This window comes from Homo sapiens, chromosome 2, assembly GCF_000001405.40.
Source record: "Homo sapiens chromosome 2, GRCh38.p14 Primary Assembly".
Taxonomy (NCBI): domain Eukaryota; kingdom Metazoa; phylum Chordata; class Mammalia; order Primates; family Hominidae; genus Homo; species Homo sapiens.
The window spans coordinates 12,295,964-12,314,185 of record NC_000002.12 but is presented as its reverse complement, the minus strand read 5'-3'; the positions used below and the strand labels follow the sequence as shown (position 1 = coordinate 12,314,185).

The 18,222-nt window shown below is 41.0% G+C and overlaps 1 long non-coding RNA gene across 1 annotated transcript in view; it reads right to left on the bottom strand.

The window, feature by feature from the left end:
• The window catches only part of MIR3681HG (MIR3681 host gene), a 571,233-nt gene that overhangs the window by 264,163 nt on the left and 288,848 nt on the right, over positions 1-18,222 (bottom strand). The window contains exon 4 of the long non-coding RNA NR_110196.1: positions 5,402-5,498. This is a non-coding gene — a long non-coding RNA (MIR3681 host gene). The remainder of the gene's footprint in view (positions 1-5,401; positions 5,499-18,222) is intronic.

The following is an 18,222-nucleotide window of genomic DNA, read 5'->3' as shown; positions in this document are numbered from 1 at the left end:
TGGTGTTTTACGTAAGGGAAAAGGACCTTGAAGACTATAGAAAGCAAATGGGTATTCCATACATACCCACTTCCTCTCTCCAGGAAGCTGAAGAAAGCTTAGCTCCTGAAGCACAGAAGAGCTAAACAAAGTACTCCAGCATCCTGTCGTTCTGACTTGTGTGATTCCAATTTGAATCACGCCACAAATGTAAAATGACTTCATTTTCCTGTGCCAGATCCCCTGGGGATCTCAGACTTTTTATGCCTCTCTGAAATGAAGTTCAGCCTAGCCCCAGTGAAGGAAAACGCTTCTATAGGCAGGAGGCTGCTGGAGCCAAAACATGAGCAGAGTCTATTCATCCTCCTTTGACAAAGCTCATCCTCTTGGAACAAGGGAACTTCAGTCCCTAATGTCTCAGGCTTGGCAGCACAGTGAGAGCTGGTTTCATGTGGAGGTTTAGAAACTAGTGCTCAAATATAAAACTTAGTGCCGGGAGCCCAGAAAGATCATCTGACTCTTACCCAGAGCTCTGCTCCTAAGATAACTCTAACCCTAGCCACATCTTTTGACATCCTTTGTAAACAATGAGGTCAGAAGGGTGCTCTCCACACGCAAGTCTGTTAAGTCTCATAAACAGTAAGTGGCCTTGGGTTGGGGTTTACTGGCTACGGATCCCCACCCCACTTGAAGAGCAATAGTAACCTGTGTCTTTTTACCAATACAGATGTTCATTCATTAGTTACAGGTTTACTGACCACCTACCGTAAGATAACAGGCACCCAGGATACAGAGAAGAAAACAACGTGGCTCCTGACCTCCCATTCCAAGTTTGAGAGACCTCATGGTACAGGTTTAGATCCAAATCCTGCCTCTCCTGTATGCCGCTTCTCATCTACAAAATGATGTGCACCATTTATACCTTGCAGCGGCACACTGAAGAATACATAAGCCAGCAGCTGTGGAGGACCCACACAAATGGGTTCTTCCTCCTGGTCCCATCCTTGTTTGCTTAGATTTGTGGTGGGGGCAGGGAGTTCTATATTCCCTGCCTTCCACTTCATCATCTTTAAGGAATTAACTGAAGGCAGTGAGTGTGAGTTGCAGTGTGAGAGAATTAAGTGGTTTGCACCCCTCAATGCTAATTAAGCAAAGTCAGCATGCTAAGCAGGTTGATACAATGACTATTCTAAACCAGAAATGAAGAAGCTGTGCATGAGGAAGGTATATCATACAAAGAAAGAATTGGTCTGATCGGTTAACCAAGCAATTGTAATGCCCCACCCCAAGAATCTTCTGAATGTAAACAGACCCATGTTAATTTTGTACAAAAAAGACTTCCCGGAAAAGCATAGGAAAGAAAACAGTAGGCAAATGTGGAGATATCAGAAAGGCTGTACAGAAGATCATCTCAGAAAAGAAATGATCTTGTGTCCCTAGGCAGAGACAGAATTAGAGGAGGCTTTAGAGGTGGCCAGAGGGATTTATTTAATCACACTCATAATAAAAAGTCAAGGCCCTTCCATCTTCAAATTCTAGCACATCAATTCATACTCATCCTCTGGAGATTTTGGGGTTAGGAAACTGCATTTGCCTCTTATTATGAAGTTAGTTGAATGATATTTCTTTGATTTCCGTGCAAGAAATTAAAGTTAAAAAAAAAAGTGTTTGCAAATGACAGTGCCTCCTCATCTAGGTGTTCCCAGGCCCCATTGACTGCACTTCCCTCCAAGGGAGAGAAAACAGGGAGGATGCCCTGGTGGTTGCTATTCTGGACCAGTGCTGAGCATCTGCAGGCCTGTGTGGGAATGAGGGAAAGGACCACAGGCAGAGGAACAGGAGCAGGCTTGAGAACCAGCGTCCTGGATCACAGCCCCAGCTCCGCCATTTCCTCATTGAGGAACCCGACCCCAGGGCACAGAGTTGTGTTGGTTCCTGCTGTATGCCAGTCTTAGAATATTTATGTGACTAGGAACTTGTAGCTCTATTGTGTAGATTAAAAGAACACAGGATCGGTGAGATTAGGGAGAGTAAGTAACTTTCCCAAGGTTACCTGACACCAGACTTCATCTCCTACTACACACTCCTCCGGAGGGAGCATCTGTCAAGCCCTGGCTTTCCCAAATGAATGGTGAGAGGAGAGGACCAGGCTGTTTCTCCAACTCCTCCAGCTTTAAAAGAAGCTGAATATGAGGATTGTCAATAATTGACATGGATATTTCTCTGGAAAGGTACAAAAGAGGCCAGGTATGGTGGCTCACGCTTATAATCCCAGTACTCTGGGAGGCCGACGGGGGTGGATCACCCAAGCTCAGGAGTTCGAGACCAGCCTGGGCAGCATGGAGAAACTCCATCACTACAAAAATACAAAAATTAGCCAGGTATGGTTGTGCATGCCTGTAGTCTCAGCTACTCAAGAGGCTGAGGTGGGAGGAGGGCTTGAGCCCAGGAGGTGGAGGTTGCAGTGAGTCAAGATTGTGCCACTGCACTCCAGCCTGGGTGACAGAGTGAGACCCTATCTCAAAAAAAAAGAAAAAAAAAGGTACAAAAGAAACATAAAATGCTGATTAAACATTATTAAAGGCAAAGAACTTGAGTGTCAAATACACACAAAGAAAAAATTAGTGATTAAATTAGTGATTAGTTGACTGTTTTCACTTACCACAAACATGAACAACATAGTGCTTATTCTTTATCTGAGTAGACTAAACTGGGGGGTAGAAGGGTAGAGGAAGAAGCAACTAAAGAGAAATGAAGTTATAGAACCTGCTCTCAAGTCTATTTTCTGAGAATATTCCATTGCTCTGAAATAGAGGGAAACATTATACATATATTAGGTTCTAAGCTGCTATTGAATCTAAACAATGCTTATTGAGAGAAGGAAAACATCTAGAAGGATTGTCATTGCCTTTAGTTAATCTGACACTTGCACTTTACCAATAAAGTTCACATCAAAAATCTCCTAGGATATCCATTATAACCTCTTCAGATACAAGAGGCAATTTTATCTTCAAAGATAAAAAAGGGATGCTCACTAAATTCAAGGGACTTTTCCAGGTTCAAATGGCTGCTAAATCCAATCCTGAGATATTTTTTATTCTGCTCTAGTATCTGTCTCCCCATTGCCTAGTCTTGTGTATGACAAATAGTTGGCACTTAGCAAACAGTTTAACAAATGAATAAATTTCAAATTAGAAAATCTACCCTTACAAGGGTGCTAAAATCTTTCTTGTCTTTATACATAGGTGGAATGAACATGTCTTTGCCAGCTGCACTGAAATTGAAGGTTGAAGTTTCCTGGGAAAGATGCCTTTACCTGAAATCATATCATTAGAAATACTTAAGAAATCCTCTATTTTCAATGCCCATAGAAGAGAGAATATAGTTGCCAACAGGTATGTTCAATAATGTTGTGGTAAATAAATTAATAATCCTAATCCACAAAAGCATTTAATGAACAATGACTATGTTTTAAGCCCTTGACAAAACACTTGGAACACTATGGCAAATGAAACACAGTTGCTGCCATCAGGTAATTCACAGTCTAGGGGTACAAAACAGGCAATTAAACAGGAAATTATAAAATGGCATGGGACAGGATGTTGCTAGACTGGTGATATGATCTTACAGAGTTGAATAAGAAATCAGACAAGGGGATCCTAAAACTGCAGAGAAGCAAAGGAGGTGCCAAGAGGTGGTTTTGGGGCCAATATCAGAATGATTTGTAGAGCTTTGCATTTTTTAAAGCTGAAAGTGACTTGGAGATCAATTTTGATTAATCTCACTAAAGGGTCAATCAAACTCAGAGAGGGAAACTGACATGCACAAGATCACATGGGGGTTAATGTCAGTGGTAGAACGAAGGGATCCTAAGGCTAAGATCAATGTTAGTTCTCAGGCCACATGTGTGCATCACTAAGGAAGACTGTGAATAAATGATGTCTTTATTTTGCCTTAGGTGGACAGTCCCCCAGTCCTCACAAAGGCCAAGTGAAGTATGTATTGGCCCTGTTATAAAGGATAAAGGAACCACACTCAACCATCTAGGGATGGACCCAGGATTTGAACCCAGACTTGCCTGTCTCCAAGCTGACTCTCTCAGAGGCATATGAACGAGCCCATTCCTGTATGGAATGAAAGCTGGAGGCCACTGAAGAATCCCAGCTCCTCACTCCTTTTTACACATGGATGTCCCATTGTGGATGCACTAGTGTGCGTTCAGAGCCAGTCTTCTGGAATACTAAGGTCATCCACAACCACTCTCAGAACTGATCAGACACTTGGATGTGATTTGGTCCAGATCATAGGCCACAGGATTTGCAGGAGGTGGCAATTCACAAGTCATTCTATGGAAAATAATGGAAATGATTGCTGTGCTCTGGTCACCCAGAACCATTGACAGCCTTGGTCAACGATGATTTCATTACAGTCCTGTCTAAAGGAAGGGGATGTATGAGCTGACCTCTTCTGGCTTCTTCATTCATGGGCCCTTGGGATTGTCGTTATTGGGTTGAGGTGGTGGGAACTGAAATATACGTCTCATCTGGAGTGATTTGTTTTGTATATCTTTCAAGATTCTTGAAACAGATTGTTAGAACAGATTTTTTTATTTTCCTTTTTGTTATGTTTTAATACTATAGTATATGTAATGGCATAGAAAAAAACTGTTTGAAATCTGCTACATTCTTCCTTATTTTAAACTCCCTCTCATCTACACGTATCTACATATGGTGTTTGAGACATTGGCATAAGTAAGTACATAGCATAAAACCTCAAGAAAGGGGAAGATTTCCCTTTCCAGTGTGGCCAAATATCTTCACCAAGTCTCCCCTAATTCATAGGGAAATGGATGAATATGTTCTGATCCTTGGGCTTGTAATTTACAGCAAATTTCAGGTTCCCTTTCACAGCAGATTGGAAGGTTCAGTAAATCATGTTCTCCTGTGGCAGCCAATGTCTATACGTTGTAGTTTTATGTCATGGAAATCAGCAAGGATGTGGTATGTGGTTATTGAATAATATTTGGGCTTGTGACCTTGAGTCTCTCAGTCAATTAAACTGGAATAGTTTAAAAAAAATTTCTTTTCTGAACACCTATCAGGAAACAACGTGCTATGCAAGAACCATGAGTAAATCTCTGTCCCCTAGCAGATCATTGATTGATAGTAAAGATAAGTTCAGAAAGGTGGAATATTAAACATACATAGATGCCAGAAACCAAAAGCTATGAACCACAAGGTCCTTCTTTACATTACAGTGGCTGGATTAGCCACCCAAAATGGGAGGATAGAGTAAAGGCAGATTATGCCTTAAATTTCCCAGTGGTGATCAGCCCTTATTCTGAAAGGATTTTAGTAAAATTATAAATGAAGGAAAAGGAGCCAAGGCCACCTGCTGATGTCTGATGTCCCAGCTCTCTTACCTCCACAAGGATTGAAGCCATGATGTCTAGCCCTTCAGCTTATGTTCAATTCAACCACACTGTTTTTCACCATTCGCCATCCTAATTGCAACAGCCTCTGTTCAGAAAGTTAAGAAGGAAAGCAATGACCATACGACCATATGAGACCAATGCAAAAATTATGTCAAAAAGATAAAATAAAAACTAGGACAAAACAAGAGACTGTGAGCACTCTTTGAAGAAAGAATGTTTTCTAGGGAAGGTGAGCAAATTTTAGATGACTACTGCTTTTTTATTTTCAAGGCAATTAAATAAAATGTAAATATTAAGAATATAAGATCAGAGAGAAAATGACAAAATGAATGATAAGTGGTGTTAGCAGTGATGATGAAAATAATTAAGAGAATGAATGCATAATACTAGTGTAGATTTTTTTTGAAGGCTGTAGAATCATCAATAAACAGAACTGATATGACACTATGGAAATTTAAGGCGGTGACATAGAGGATGGAATGAGAAAAATTCCAAAGAATGAGGAGAGAAAGGATAAAGAATTTTTAAAAGAGCACATCTGAGTAACAGACAATGCAGCCATCACTTTTGAATAATTAGTAATATAAATTTAGTGAATAGAATATACTAAACAGAAAACATTCAAATATGTAAGTGAAAAAATATCTGGAACTAAAAATCTTGATCTGCAATCCTAAGGGCTCAGTGTGTTCTAGGAGGAAATCACAAAGAATGACTCACATTATGCCATATTTTAACAAAAATTGCTGAACCTTGTGAAGAAGAAAGATACCAACATGTGTCTACAAAAAATAGTTCACCTATAAAACTGAAAAAATAATGAATGGACTCAGAATTTACTATAACAGCATTAGGTAATAGAAAATAATAAAACAGTGGCTGGGGGACTTTGGAATAAAATGATTTGTGACCCTAGAATTCTATATTCAGTCATATTCTCAGGTATATAAGGATAAAAGAAAAATTTTAACACTTCATTCTTTTTGAAAAATCTATTTTAAGTTGTATCTCACCTAATGGTGTAATCTTATTTTTCAAGAAAAGAAACATGGTGATTCACATGTAAATAACACATCCAGTGAAAGAAGTGGCTGTGAACATTGAATCCATTAAGGCTGAATTATGTCTAACATTTCTGAGGCTCTTGATTCATACTTTCTAAAGACAGATTTATTAACTCATTAAAGAAATAATAATAAACCCACTGTGAAATAACATATTTTTATAAAGAATAACTATATTTTTCATTTTTTTTTTATTTTATTTTATTTTAGAGACGGAGTCTCGCTTGTCGCCCAGGCTGGAGTGCAGAGGCGAGATCTCGGCTCACTGCAAGCTCCGCCTCCTGGGTTCCCGCCATTCTCCCGCCTCAGCCTCCCAAGTAGCTGGGACTACAGGCGCCCGCCACCACACCCGGCTAATTTTTTGTATTTTTAGTAGAGACGGGGTTTCACCGTGTTAGCCAGGATGGTCTCCATCTCTTGACCTCGTGATCCACCTGCCTCGGCCTCCCAAAGTGCTGGGATTACAGGTATGAGCCACTGCGCCTGGCAAGAATAGCTATATTTTTCAATACCAAAAACCTCATTGAGGAAAGTAGCATTTTACATTTTTGCGAGTCTCTTAAATTCCTTGTTTAATACGAGACAATTATTTTTGTATCTGCTTCTTCATAAAATAAGATGCATTATTACTTTATTTGGATTACATAAAGAAGAAAAATTAGCCACATACATATGTATTTGGAAAGGGAAGAGTATTTTAGTAGCTTTTTCAAATAATTGGGGTCATTCTTTTTTGATACTGCACCGAAACAAGTGGCAGTTTCTTAAAGGCAAATTGAACTATGGAATCTGAAACTGTACAAACGAATATTTTGTATTCTGTTACATTAACATCCATTGGTCTGTCTTGCCTTTTCCTGATGCATGATTTTCTTTTTTTTAATTAATTTTATGTTAGATACATGGGGTGTATATGCAGGTTTGTTACATGGAACAATTGCATGATATTGAGGTTTGGGGTACAGATCCGGTCACGCAGGTAGTGAGCATAGTACCTAATAGGTAGTTTTTCAAACCATGCCCCACCTCTCCTGTCCCCCTCCAGTAGTCCACAGTGTCTGTGGTTCCCATGTTAATGTCCATGTGTGTTCAATGTTTCGCTCTCACTTAGAAGTGAGAACATGCAGTATTTGGTTTTCTGTTTCTGTGTTAATTTGTTTAGGATTATGACTTCCAGCTACACCAGTGTTGCTGCAAAGGGCATGATTTCATTCTTTTTTATAGCTGTGTCATATTATGTACCACATTTTCTTTATCCAATCTACCATTGATGGGTACCTGGGTGGATTCCATGTCTTTGCTATTGTGAATTGTGCTGCGATGAACATACGTGTGTGTTTCTTTTTGGTAAAATGATTGATTTTCCTTTTGGGTATATACCTAGTAATGGGATTGCTGGGTCAAATGGTAGTTCTGTTTGAAGTACTTGGAGAAATATCCAAACTGCTTTCCACATTGGCTGGACTAAATTATATTCCCACCAACAATGTATTAGTGTTCCCTTTTCTCTGCAGCCTTGCCAGCATCTGTTGTTTTTTGACTTTCTAATATTAACTATTCTGACTGGTGTGAGATGGTATCTCACTGTGGTTTTGAAAACAGACATTTTTCAAAAGAAGACATACAAACAGCCAACAATCATATGAAAAAATTCTCGGCATCATTGACCCATACTTAAACTATTTTTATTTCAGTTCTACCAATGTCTACTCCTAATAGCAATGTACGAACCCTGCTCAGCTTTAAGGATTTAATTTTTTGCTAATATGCCAGAATGATAAAACCTGTTTACTTTTTGTTATGCACGAATATAAAAGGAAAGCTCCCACATGAATTTATTAGACACCTTTCAGCTTTCTAAATGGTCATCTTATTTGTCCCCTGCATCTGTGTAAGACTAGTCCACACCAGCAGGCCTTGATAGGGGAGAATGAAAGAAGAAAGAAATGGCTCACCTATTTTCAGGTTTCTCACTCCAGACATGGGGGGGACATCTTCACTACCTGATACTGGTGGGTATATCCATTTGTTCACTGTAATGCCCCTCTCCCAGCAGGAAAGCTGGGATGGGCCAGCCCACCACTGGCTGTGGTCATATTCCTTACCCCAACTGTATTATGGGTCATGGATGATGATTCCTAAATCAAATACAACATGCAAGTATAGGAGTTTAACCCCTGAACACCCGAGCAGCTTGTCTCCAACCCACATCCAATTTAAAGGGTTCCCAGGAATGCTGGGTAAAGGTGGGAAAGAAACAGCTGCTCTGAGTTGACAATCAAGTGGTCACTTTTAATTGGGGTATTTGTTTGCTCTCAGCAGAGTCTATAACTGTCATTGAGAATACTCTACATAGGACCATGTTTTCAAAGATGTAAAGATAAAGGAAAAATATCAGAAACATACTATATGAACACTGCAGAAATATTTGAAGGGGCAGGTGGGTGGTCACGTCCCCAGATCACTCACTCTAGTATTTGAAATGCCTGTGTATTCCCAGGAGGACTGAATCAGGTAGCTCAGGAGAGGACATCTAGCACATCTGGCATTCTGTGAAAATCAGTTTTAGTTCCAAGCAGCTGTTTTGATTTTGTGACGCAGCCCATGAAGGAGACGTTGCATCTGGCACTGACCACAAATTATTGCCTCAGTGTTAGAGTCAAAGCCATGCCAATACTAAAAGATAAAAAGCATCCTTAAATTGTTTTCATTTCCTTATGTAATGACATAATTACCTGAAGACAGCAGCACAGGCTCCCAGTTCTCTATACCAGCTGAATTCTTTCTATTCAACAATCTCTAGCTTCTTTGAAAGTCTAATTAGCTAAACTGGAAAGATTTCAAGAGTCCAGCTTAAAAGGACTAAGAGGTCCCTTCTTGTAGCTGAGGAAATTGGAGCCCAAAGAGGAAAGAAACTTGGCCATTGCTGTCACCTCTGTAAACAAAAAATTATCTGAGACAGATCTCAATCAATTTAGAAGTTTATTTTCCCAAGCTTATGGATCATAACCTGTGACACAGCCTTGGGAGGTCCTGGACATGTGCCCAAGGCAGTTGAATTATAGGTTGGTTTTATGTTTTAGAGAGACATAGGACATCAATCAATGCATATAAGGCATACATTTGTTTGGTTCAGAAATGCAGGACAACTTGAAGTGTGGGAAGGGGGAGGCCTACAGGTCACAGGTGGATTCAAAGCTTTTCTGATTGGCAATTGGTTGAGTTAGTTATTATCAAAAAACCTGGGATCAATAGAAAGGAGTGTTTGGGTTAAGATAAGGGGTTGTAGAGAACAAGGTTCTTATTATGTAAATGAAGCCTCATAGGTGGCCAGAGGCAAAAGATGGCAAATATTTCCTATTCAGACCTTTAAAAGGTGCTAGACTCTCAGCCCATCTCTTCAGCATCAGAAAAAGACCTGGAAAGGGAAGAGGGCTCTCTACAGAAGGTAAGTATTCCCCACAAGAGACAGTTTTATGGGACCATTTCAAAATACGTCAAACGAGTATATTTTGGGGTAAAATACTTTGGTTTCTTTCAGAGCTCTGCCATCTGGGATGTGATGCTATACTAAGGTCAGGTTGGAATTTGGTATCTTATTGCTACAAAGAGTCTGTCTGTCAGTCTTGGGATCTGTATTTTAATATTAATCCTGGCCAGTTGTGCCTGAATTCCAAAGAGAGGTGAGTATAATGAAGCAGGTCCAATCCTCCCCTTCTCATTATGGTCTGAACTAATTTTTCAGGTTTAGTTGGGTCCCATTGGCCAAGAGGAAGGTTCATTCAGTCAGTTGGAGGGCTTGGAATTTTATTTTTGGTTTACAATTCTAATCCCTGGTAGATCAGGCCTTCTGTTGGTGAGTAATTTTTTGATGTGGCAACAGTGCAATCAGTAAACTTTGTTCTCAATATTTTTAAGACAAGTAACTTCTCAAGGGCAAATGCAAGCACAGTGCCTGTTTGTATTTGTGTCCTCGGTCCCTGGTGCAGGGCTGGGCACAAAGTAGGCACTTTGCTGCACTGATGGAACTGCACATGACTGCGGGAATCCTGGCGTGACCTTGTGGGTGACCGTGGTTGTGGCTGTGGTATCCTCTCCTCTGCGGGGTGCATGCCCCTGCCCTGCATGCTTCTCTCCTCTCCCAACAAACCACAAAGCAAGAAGGCAGTAGGGGGTGACGCTGTGGCAGTACAGACACATGAAAGACCCTGGGATTGTTTGCTTTTGTCTAGTAAAACTTGACAACAGCTTCAATTTATTTATCTTGAAAACCCTCAAAGATAATACCAACAGTTCACAGGAGGGGAATTAGTCATAGGCACACATGGTTTCCCGATATTGCCCCAAGAAAAATACCCCCCTTCAAAGTTCTCTGGTTTCAGCATCACCTAATTTATGGAACATTAGTTCAAGACCTTGAAGTTCTGATTTCATCAGAGATTCTGCCACAAAAAACTGCTGGGCTGGTCATGCCTCACCAGTCCTTGGAGAACCCTTGAAAATTTCTCTGCATTTTCCTCTTATACATATGAGCGTTTCAAATATGCCTGCTGCCCTGTCCCCACTAGGATGGCATCTGCTATTATAAGGAAAGAAATGTTTGAACAAGAGAATTTATATTGGGTTGTTTTTCATAACTCTGGTCAGTATGCAGTAAATGGGAGTTCTTGAATGCATATATATTCAACTCATAATTAGAACCTAAGATACAAAACTTTTCTCTCCTTTGATAAAAGTTGACTGAGCGTCTATTAGGTGCAGTCTCTGGGAATATAAATAAATAAATAAATAAATAAATAAATACAGCCCCTGGCCTCAGGGAGCAGAAATGACAGACAGTAGGAGCTATGACAGAGGTAATCCAGCACGTCTATTAGGTGAGCATCTATTAGGTGCAGGCCTTGGGAATATAAATAAATAAGTACAGCCCCTGGCCTCAGGGAGCAGAAATGACTGAGACAGTAGGAGCTACGGCAGAGGTAACCAGCATGTCTCAGTGCTTTGAGAAGGGATATGTGTCCAAAGGCCTTTCAAAAGACATGGGGTCTTAATTGTGTCTGAATGGGTGAAAGGAGTTGGCTAAGAGGATGGAGAAGGGAGAACACCTTGGTTCTATTATCCATAGGATAATTAACAATCTTATAGTCAAAAAGTTTTAGAACCGGGGTCCCAGCATTTCATCCACTAGGATGCCATGTCTGTGACAGGGCATGAATAAAACACAGGCATGCTGTCCCAAGCCTCACACATATGGAAAAGAGGGCAGCAGCCATGCCACTTGACCTTGGCAGTCCCCCATGAAAAGCTCACAGGTCCAGACACAGCCCACACCCACCGGAACTTAGTGCACTCCTCCAACTCTCAGGCCTGTGATGTGCTGTGTGGGTTGTTTATATGCACAGCTTCCCTTGGAGTTGTGCAGAGAACTTCCTGCCAGACTATATAAGACAGCCCTGCTGTCACTGGTTAATTTAACCATTTTGTTAAACAGATCCATCGCTTTTGGCTTGGTTGTCAGAGTTTGCGTTCTGGTGGCATCATTCATCTCACAAATCTCCATCAGGTATCAATACATGATAGCTACTCATTGGGGCGGTGGTGTCTTGATGACTGTAATCACACCTGTGCCCTTGGAAGCTTACCCTCGAGTATTCAGCCTACTCTAGACCTATGCATCTCCATAGACGTGGAAGCCTGGGAAGCGTGGTCAGTGCAGGCCTTCATGCTCTGCTCACATATAACCATATCCAGTTCCTTAGGCAGAAAGTCTTACCCTCTTCGATACATGACAGGCCCAGGAAGTGTGCATGCACAGGCACATGCTATCCCTTCTTCATTTATCTATTTTGGGTGTTTTTGTTTATTTAACATCTATGTCATAGCTTGGATAAGTCAAAGGTTGGATGATCCGAGTTTTCACTCTTGTGTCCTTCATTCATACCCTGCTGTTAGAATTCCTATTCCACTTGGAATAAAAAACAAAGTCCTTTCTAAGTCCATGGGGACCTCTATGACCTGGTCATACCTCTCTGGCCTGTCTCCTCCCACCCTTTTATTGGGCACTCTGCTCAGCCACTCACACCCCTAGATGTCCATCCACTGTGAGGCCAGGCGTCTTACATCCAGGCACCTAGCACATAGTAGGGATCCAAATATATGCTCTAGGGGAGGAAATGAATTAAGGGATTGTAGCTGTGAAGAGATTGCCTGTGATGTTGGGCGTTACTCAAGCTCTCCCACTCCCCGTGGGAGGCTGGGAGCATCAATTCTGTTAGCGAACTACCTCCTGTATTCTCAGCCATGGCTTCATCTTCTCTCTTTCACCCCAGAACGAATGCCCACTGTTTGGCATTGCTGGCCTACTCTCTCAATCCCCTCTTTTTGGAAAACCTCTACATGTTCTTCCATCCAGATGTGGGTGATAATTCTGCCATTCAACTACGGCAACCTAGCCCTGCCTGACCTCAGCAAGGCCGGCATCTGAGCTGTCTGCCTCCTAATACTGTAAAATAGGCCGAGTCACCCTCATATGACAATTGAGGAGCTAAAGTTCACAGCGAGTCAGGGACTTGCAGAAGTCCTACAGCTGGATTTAAACCCAAGCCTTTGTAACTCCAAAGCCGGCACTTGGCCCATTAAACCACCTTCATTCATGCATAAGTAAAGTTGGAAAGTTTCATTATTTCCCATCCAGAGGAAACTTTAAAACCTTCCTCCACCCCCAGCTCCACAACTCCACTGGCATCTCCACAGTGGCAAAGCTTTTGTGTGTGTGAATATAAACAAGCGGTAATGAATGGGAAACATACTGAACTACTGACCTTTCAAAGTTCTGGAATTCTATGAATTAAATCTTCTTTGTTTAAAAATTTGAACCTATTGTTTCCCCCTTGATCCCTGAGCAATATAGCTTCTCCAGAAGCAAGAGCAGGCCATCTGATTATAACAAATGTTAGAATATCTTTTCTGAGGTATAATTTTATCCAATAGGACATAGGGAGCCATTGAAGGTTTTTCAGTGGGACAGGCACATGACCATCTCTATATTTAGGAAACAGCAATGTAGAAGATGGGTCTGCAAGTTGGCACTGGTGCCAAGGAAACCACTGAGGCAAAACAAGAAACGAAGGAGAATTAAACAAATGCTGAAGAGGTATGGAGAGAGAGGAAGGAACATTGAGGAGGAATATTATTCCTCACCAGAATGCATGCTCCAAGAAAGCAGAAACATATCATACTTACTCACTGCTCTGTTTTTAGCACCCAGAACAATGTTTGGCAAATAGTCAATGCTCAAAGAATGTTTTAAATTTTGTAAACATTGTCATGGAGGACTGAAAGAATGTTGAGTGTTTTAGTAAGAAAGAGACGGCAGTCAGCACACCTAAGAATCATTTCAGGATCATGCCTGGGGACTGAGGGAAAAATTGGGGAGGAAAACCGAAAGGAAGTCATACACATGAAATAAACATCAAGTACTCTTCTGCAACTGCTCAAGGCATCCATTGTGACACCCTGGCAATCAGCGCTCCAGGAAGAGGCAGGCACAAACCTGCCTGGGAATTGTATAAGAACCTTCCAGCCATCCAGGTAGGTAATATCACAGCAGCCTCTGATCATTCCCACTTCTTTACTGTTGATAACCAGTTGCAAACATCTATTGATTAAACATCTGCATTATCTCTTGCATCTCCTTGCCATAGTTTGGATGTTTGACCCCCTACAATTCTCAGGTTGAAACTTGATCCCCAGTGTTAGAGGAGGCCTAATAGGAGGTGTTTGGATCATGGGAGTGGATCCCTCATTAATAGATTAATGCCCTTCCTGGTAAGAGTCATGAGTAAGTGCTTGCTCTATTCATTCCTACAAGAGCTGGTTGGGAAAAAAAAAAAAAAAAACAAAACAAAACGTAGAACCTCCCCTGTCTCTTTCTCTCTTGCTCTCTCTCTCTCTCTGTCTCACCTCTTCTCTTGCTTTGTGATGTCTGTACATACTAGTTCCCCTTCTTCCACCATGAGTGGAAACAGCCTGTGGCCCTCATCAGATGCAGATGCTGGTGCCATGCTTCTTGTAGTCTGCAGAACTGTGAGCCAAATAAACCTCTTTTTGTTATAAACTACCCAGCATCAGATATTCCTTTACAAGAACACAAAACAGACTAAGACATCCCTCCTCCCCATCTCCATTATCACTACCCTAGCTCACTCTTCATCACCCTCAGGGCTTTCAGCTGAACCATGGGCACTGTATCACTGAGCAATATAGCTTCTTCAGGAGCAAGAGCAGAACATCTGATTATAGCAGATGTTAGGATGTTTGCTTCTGAGATATGATTTTATCCAATAGGAAACAGGGAGCCATTGAATGTTTTCGAGTGGGACAGACACAGGATCATGTCTGTGCTTAAAAAATCAGCAATGTGGAAGATGGGTCTGCAAGTTGGCATTGCTGCCATGGGGACCACTGGGGCAAAAAAAAAGGAAATGAGCACTATAGTTCATTTGTCAGGGATGCCATCTCCCCGACACCATGTGCTCTAGACACTGCTCACCCTCAAAGTCACTAACAGATTATTCTTTACTTAAGTATAGTTATGATTACGGTGACCTCCTACTCAAAACTACTCTAGCCTTCCTTTTGCCTAGCAAATCTCCATTTCTTGACTTACCACCAAGACTCTTCCATATGTGTCCTCAATCGTGCCAGTCAGCCTCATTTCCCACCACCGATTTTCATACCCCATTTCCATCAAACCATTCTCACTCTAGTTTCTGTACATTTTCTCCCTGTTTCCTTAACTAGGAATACCATTCATCATATACTGCAGTTGCCATTTTTTTCTGCAAAGCATTCCCTCAGCCTTCTCTTTGACTCTTCAAGGGAACTTATTTGAAACCCTTTTATGATAACAATCACTTTCTGCCTTAGATTATGCTCATCTATGCACATATCTTATTTTTTCTAATAGACCCTGAGTCCTCAAAAACTAGGATTTGTATTATTTTTAACCCTCCAGAGGCCTAGTCCTTTATTTGACCTAATTTGTAATTCAGTAAAAGGAAATGAATAAATTAAGGACAGTCTGGTTTTAATTATTATATAAAAATAGGTCCAACAAAAACATCACTCTAGAGTCCATAGAAGTGGATGATCAGGACTTAAAAGCAGATCGCACACTGTTCTAGCTGGGAAAATATGCTGGAATAGTGAAACTACTATTTAAATGGAAAGTGTCTAATGGTTTTTGCCATGGAAGTTTGCATATTTATGTTAACTGCAAAGATAAAGAGAATACGAGCACATATGTGGTGGTGAATTGCTAGATTAAGAAATACAGAGACCATCCTTCAAGAAAACCATGAGGCTGGTGGGGGCTGATGAGACTCTTGACACTTTGTGAAAAACTTCCAAATAATGCAGTGTAGGCTGCAAGCACTGACATACAACTGATGTCTGATTCAGAAACAACAACTAATAATAAGATCTAAGAGTTAATGATTACTCTCTATGTGCTCAGAAACTTCTATGATTTATGCATGTCTAATTAGTACCTAATTTTCACCTTAAAATAATCCTATGAGTTGGATAAAATCTGAAACATAGAGAATCTCACTAACTTTCCCAAGATTGGTGGTCTTTCTATTTAATGTACCAATACTCTAAGTTGAATCCTTTCTTCATATTAGATTGAGAGAAATTTCCTTTTTCCCTTTGGAACTTAAGAAAGAGAATTATCACTGTCTAGTCCAGTGGTCCTCAAGTTGTAATTAATGGCCCCATAGAAAGGAGAAAAGGATTCTGAAACTCAAAGACACTGTATTATTGGACAGACCTAAGCACTGACGTAAACATCTCTATTTGTATTTTCTTTATTTTCCTTATAATTTGAACTTCTGACTGAGAGTTTATTGAAAGAAAATATCCTCCCACCTTAAAAAACTATTTCATTAGTTTCATCAAAACTATTTCATTATCTATTAGTAGATGCCTTACCTTTGTAAAGCTCCATTTGAAAAGCTATGTGCTGATAAACTGCTTATAATAGAGCCAAGAACACAAAACATGCTCTGTAAAGGTTAACTATAGATACAATTATCATCATCGTCTTCATTATTTCATTTGCTATGTCTCTCAGAATTCTTATTTGCATCCCCTGTGAGCTTAATATGACCATCTTCATGTAACAAATGTGAAAGCATAGCATTAAGGTGTTAATGATTTATTTATAAGGTCACAAAGCCAATAAGTAAAGGGATTAAACTTTCCATTGCTCTTAGGGTCAACATCAAGTTCTCAACAAGATGCACATGACCTCGTGCTGTCTGACTGTTCTCCATACCTTCAGCCTCAACTCACCCCGCTCTCTAGTATTCACTCCCCCACACCATCTGCACTCTGGTAATGGTGGGGAAAGTGCCTGCATGGCCATCTTTGAAGTTCCTCAGGTGTGCTCCTCTCCTCCCACCATAGCACCAACCACACACTTGTCCCTCCTCCTGTAACTGTTCCACAATCCACTCCTTTTCTCCTTGACCCAAGTCAAGTTGAATGACATCATACTTGACTCCAGTCCAAGCCAGGTCCCCTTCTTACACAGTCTCATAAAACTGGATACTTCTCCTTCCTAGTGCTTGTCTCAGTGTGTAATTACATGCTTATTATGTATGACTATTTGACTGATGTCTGAATTTTCCAATAGTTGATTATCTTCATGAAGACAGTGCTCATTATATCTCCAGATTCTTGGTACACATAGGCAGTAGAAATAATTGCTGAGCAAATATGTAAAGCCCATTGTTTTTCTCACATAGTTCTTTCTTCCCCACAACATTCCTACAATCTAAGGAAGGTTTCAGTTTCTACTTAAAGAGAAAAACTGGAGTTGGCCACTTAGCTTATTAGTATTTTCTCGAAGCTACCATTAGAAAAGGGTTCATCTTGTAAAATTCTTTGAGCTAGGAAGAGGGATGATCTAGGATGTTATCAGCAAACACAAGACCTGAGACTAAAACTGAGCTGTAGACACCTGAATAAGCCCTGCCTGACCTCTTCTGTCTGCATGCTAATATTCACAGATCTGCTGAGGCATTTCTGTGCTTCTCTGCCTGCCTTGATGAGGCTTTCGCTGGGAAAAAAGCCAGCCTCTGCAGCCTTCGGAGCTCCATGTGGTGAACACCAGTTGTCACCATGGGTGACACTAGCCTCAGTTTCTTCTAATCTGTCTGGAGCCCACATTGGCCTCATGGGCTTGAAGGCATCGGCCTCAATGATGGTTTCTCACTGTAGGATGATGGTGAGCGGGCACCACAGGAACCTACACCTGCCTCATTTGTCCCTGCTGGAACTTGCTGCCTTTGTCCCACACCCTGCAGGGCAGCTGAAGCTAGGTGGCCTGTTTCCTACAACAGCACGAGAGGACAGTCCCTGTGCTTGTAGCTTCTGGGGACTCCTCACCCTTGATCACTCCCAGCTCACAATCTCTCAGTGGTCCCTCCATTCCTCTGCCTGCTTTTGCTCACATTTAGACACAATTGTTCTAGAGGAGAATGAGCTCCATCAATCCAAACTACAGACTCAGAATTAGGAGCTTTACAGTTCAGCTCCTCCAGGTGCTTTAACATTTTCTTGGTAGAAAACGATGCCTTTGGCTTGTTTTAAAACCACATTTGCTTCCTTTGCTCAGGTCTCCTTAAGCACCAGGAAATGAAGACAGAAGGGCAGATATAGATACTTATTTTTGAGATT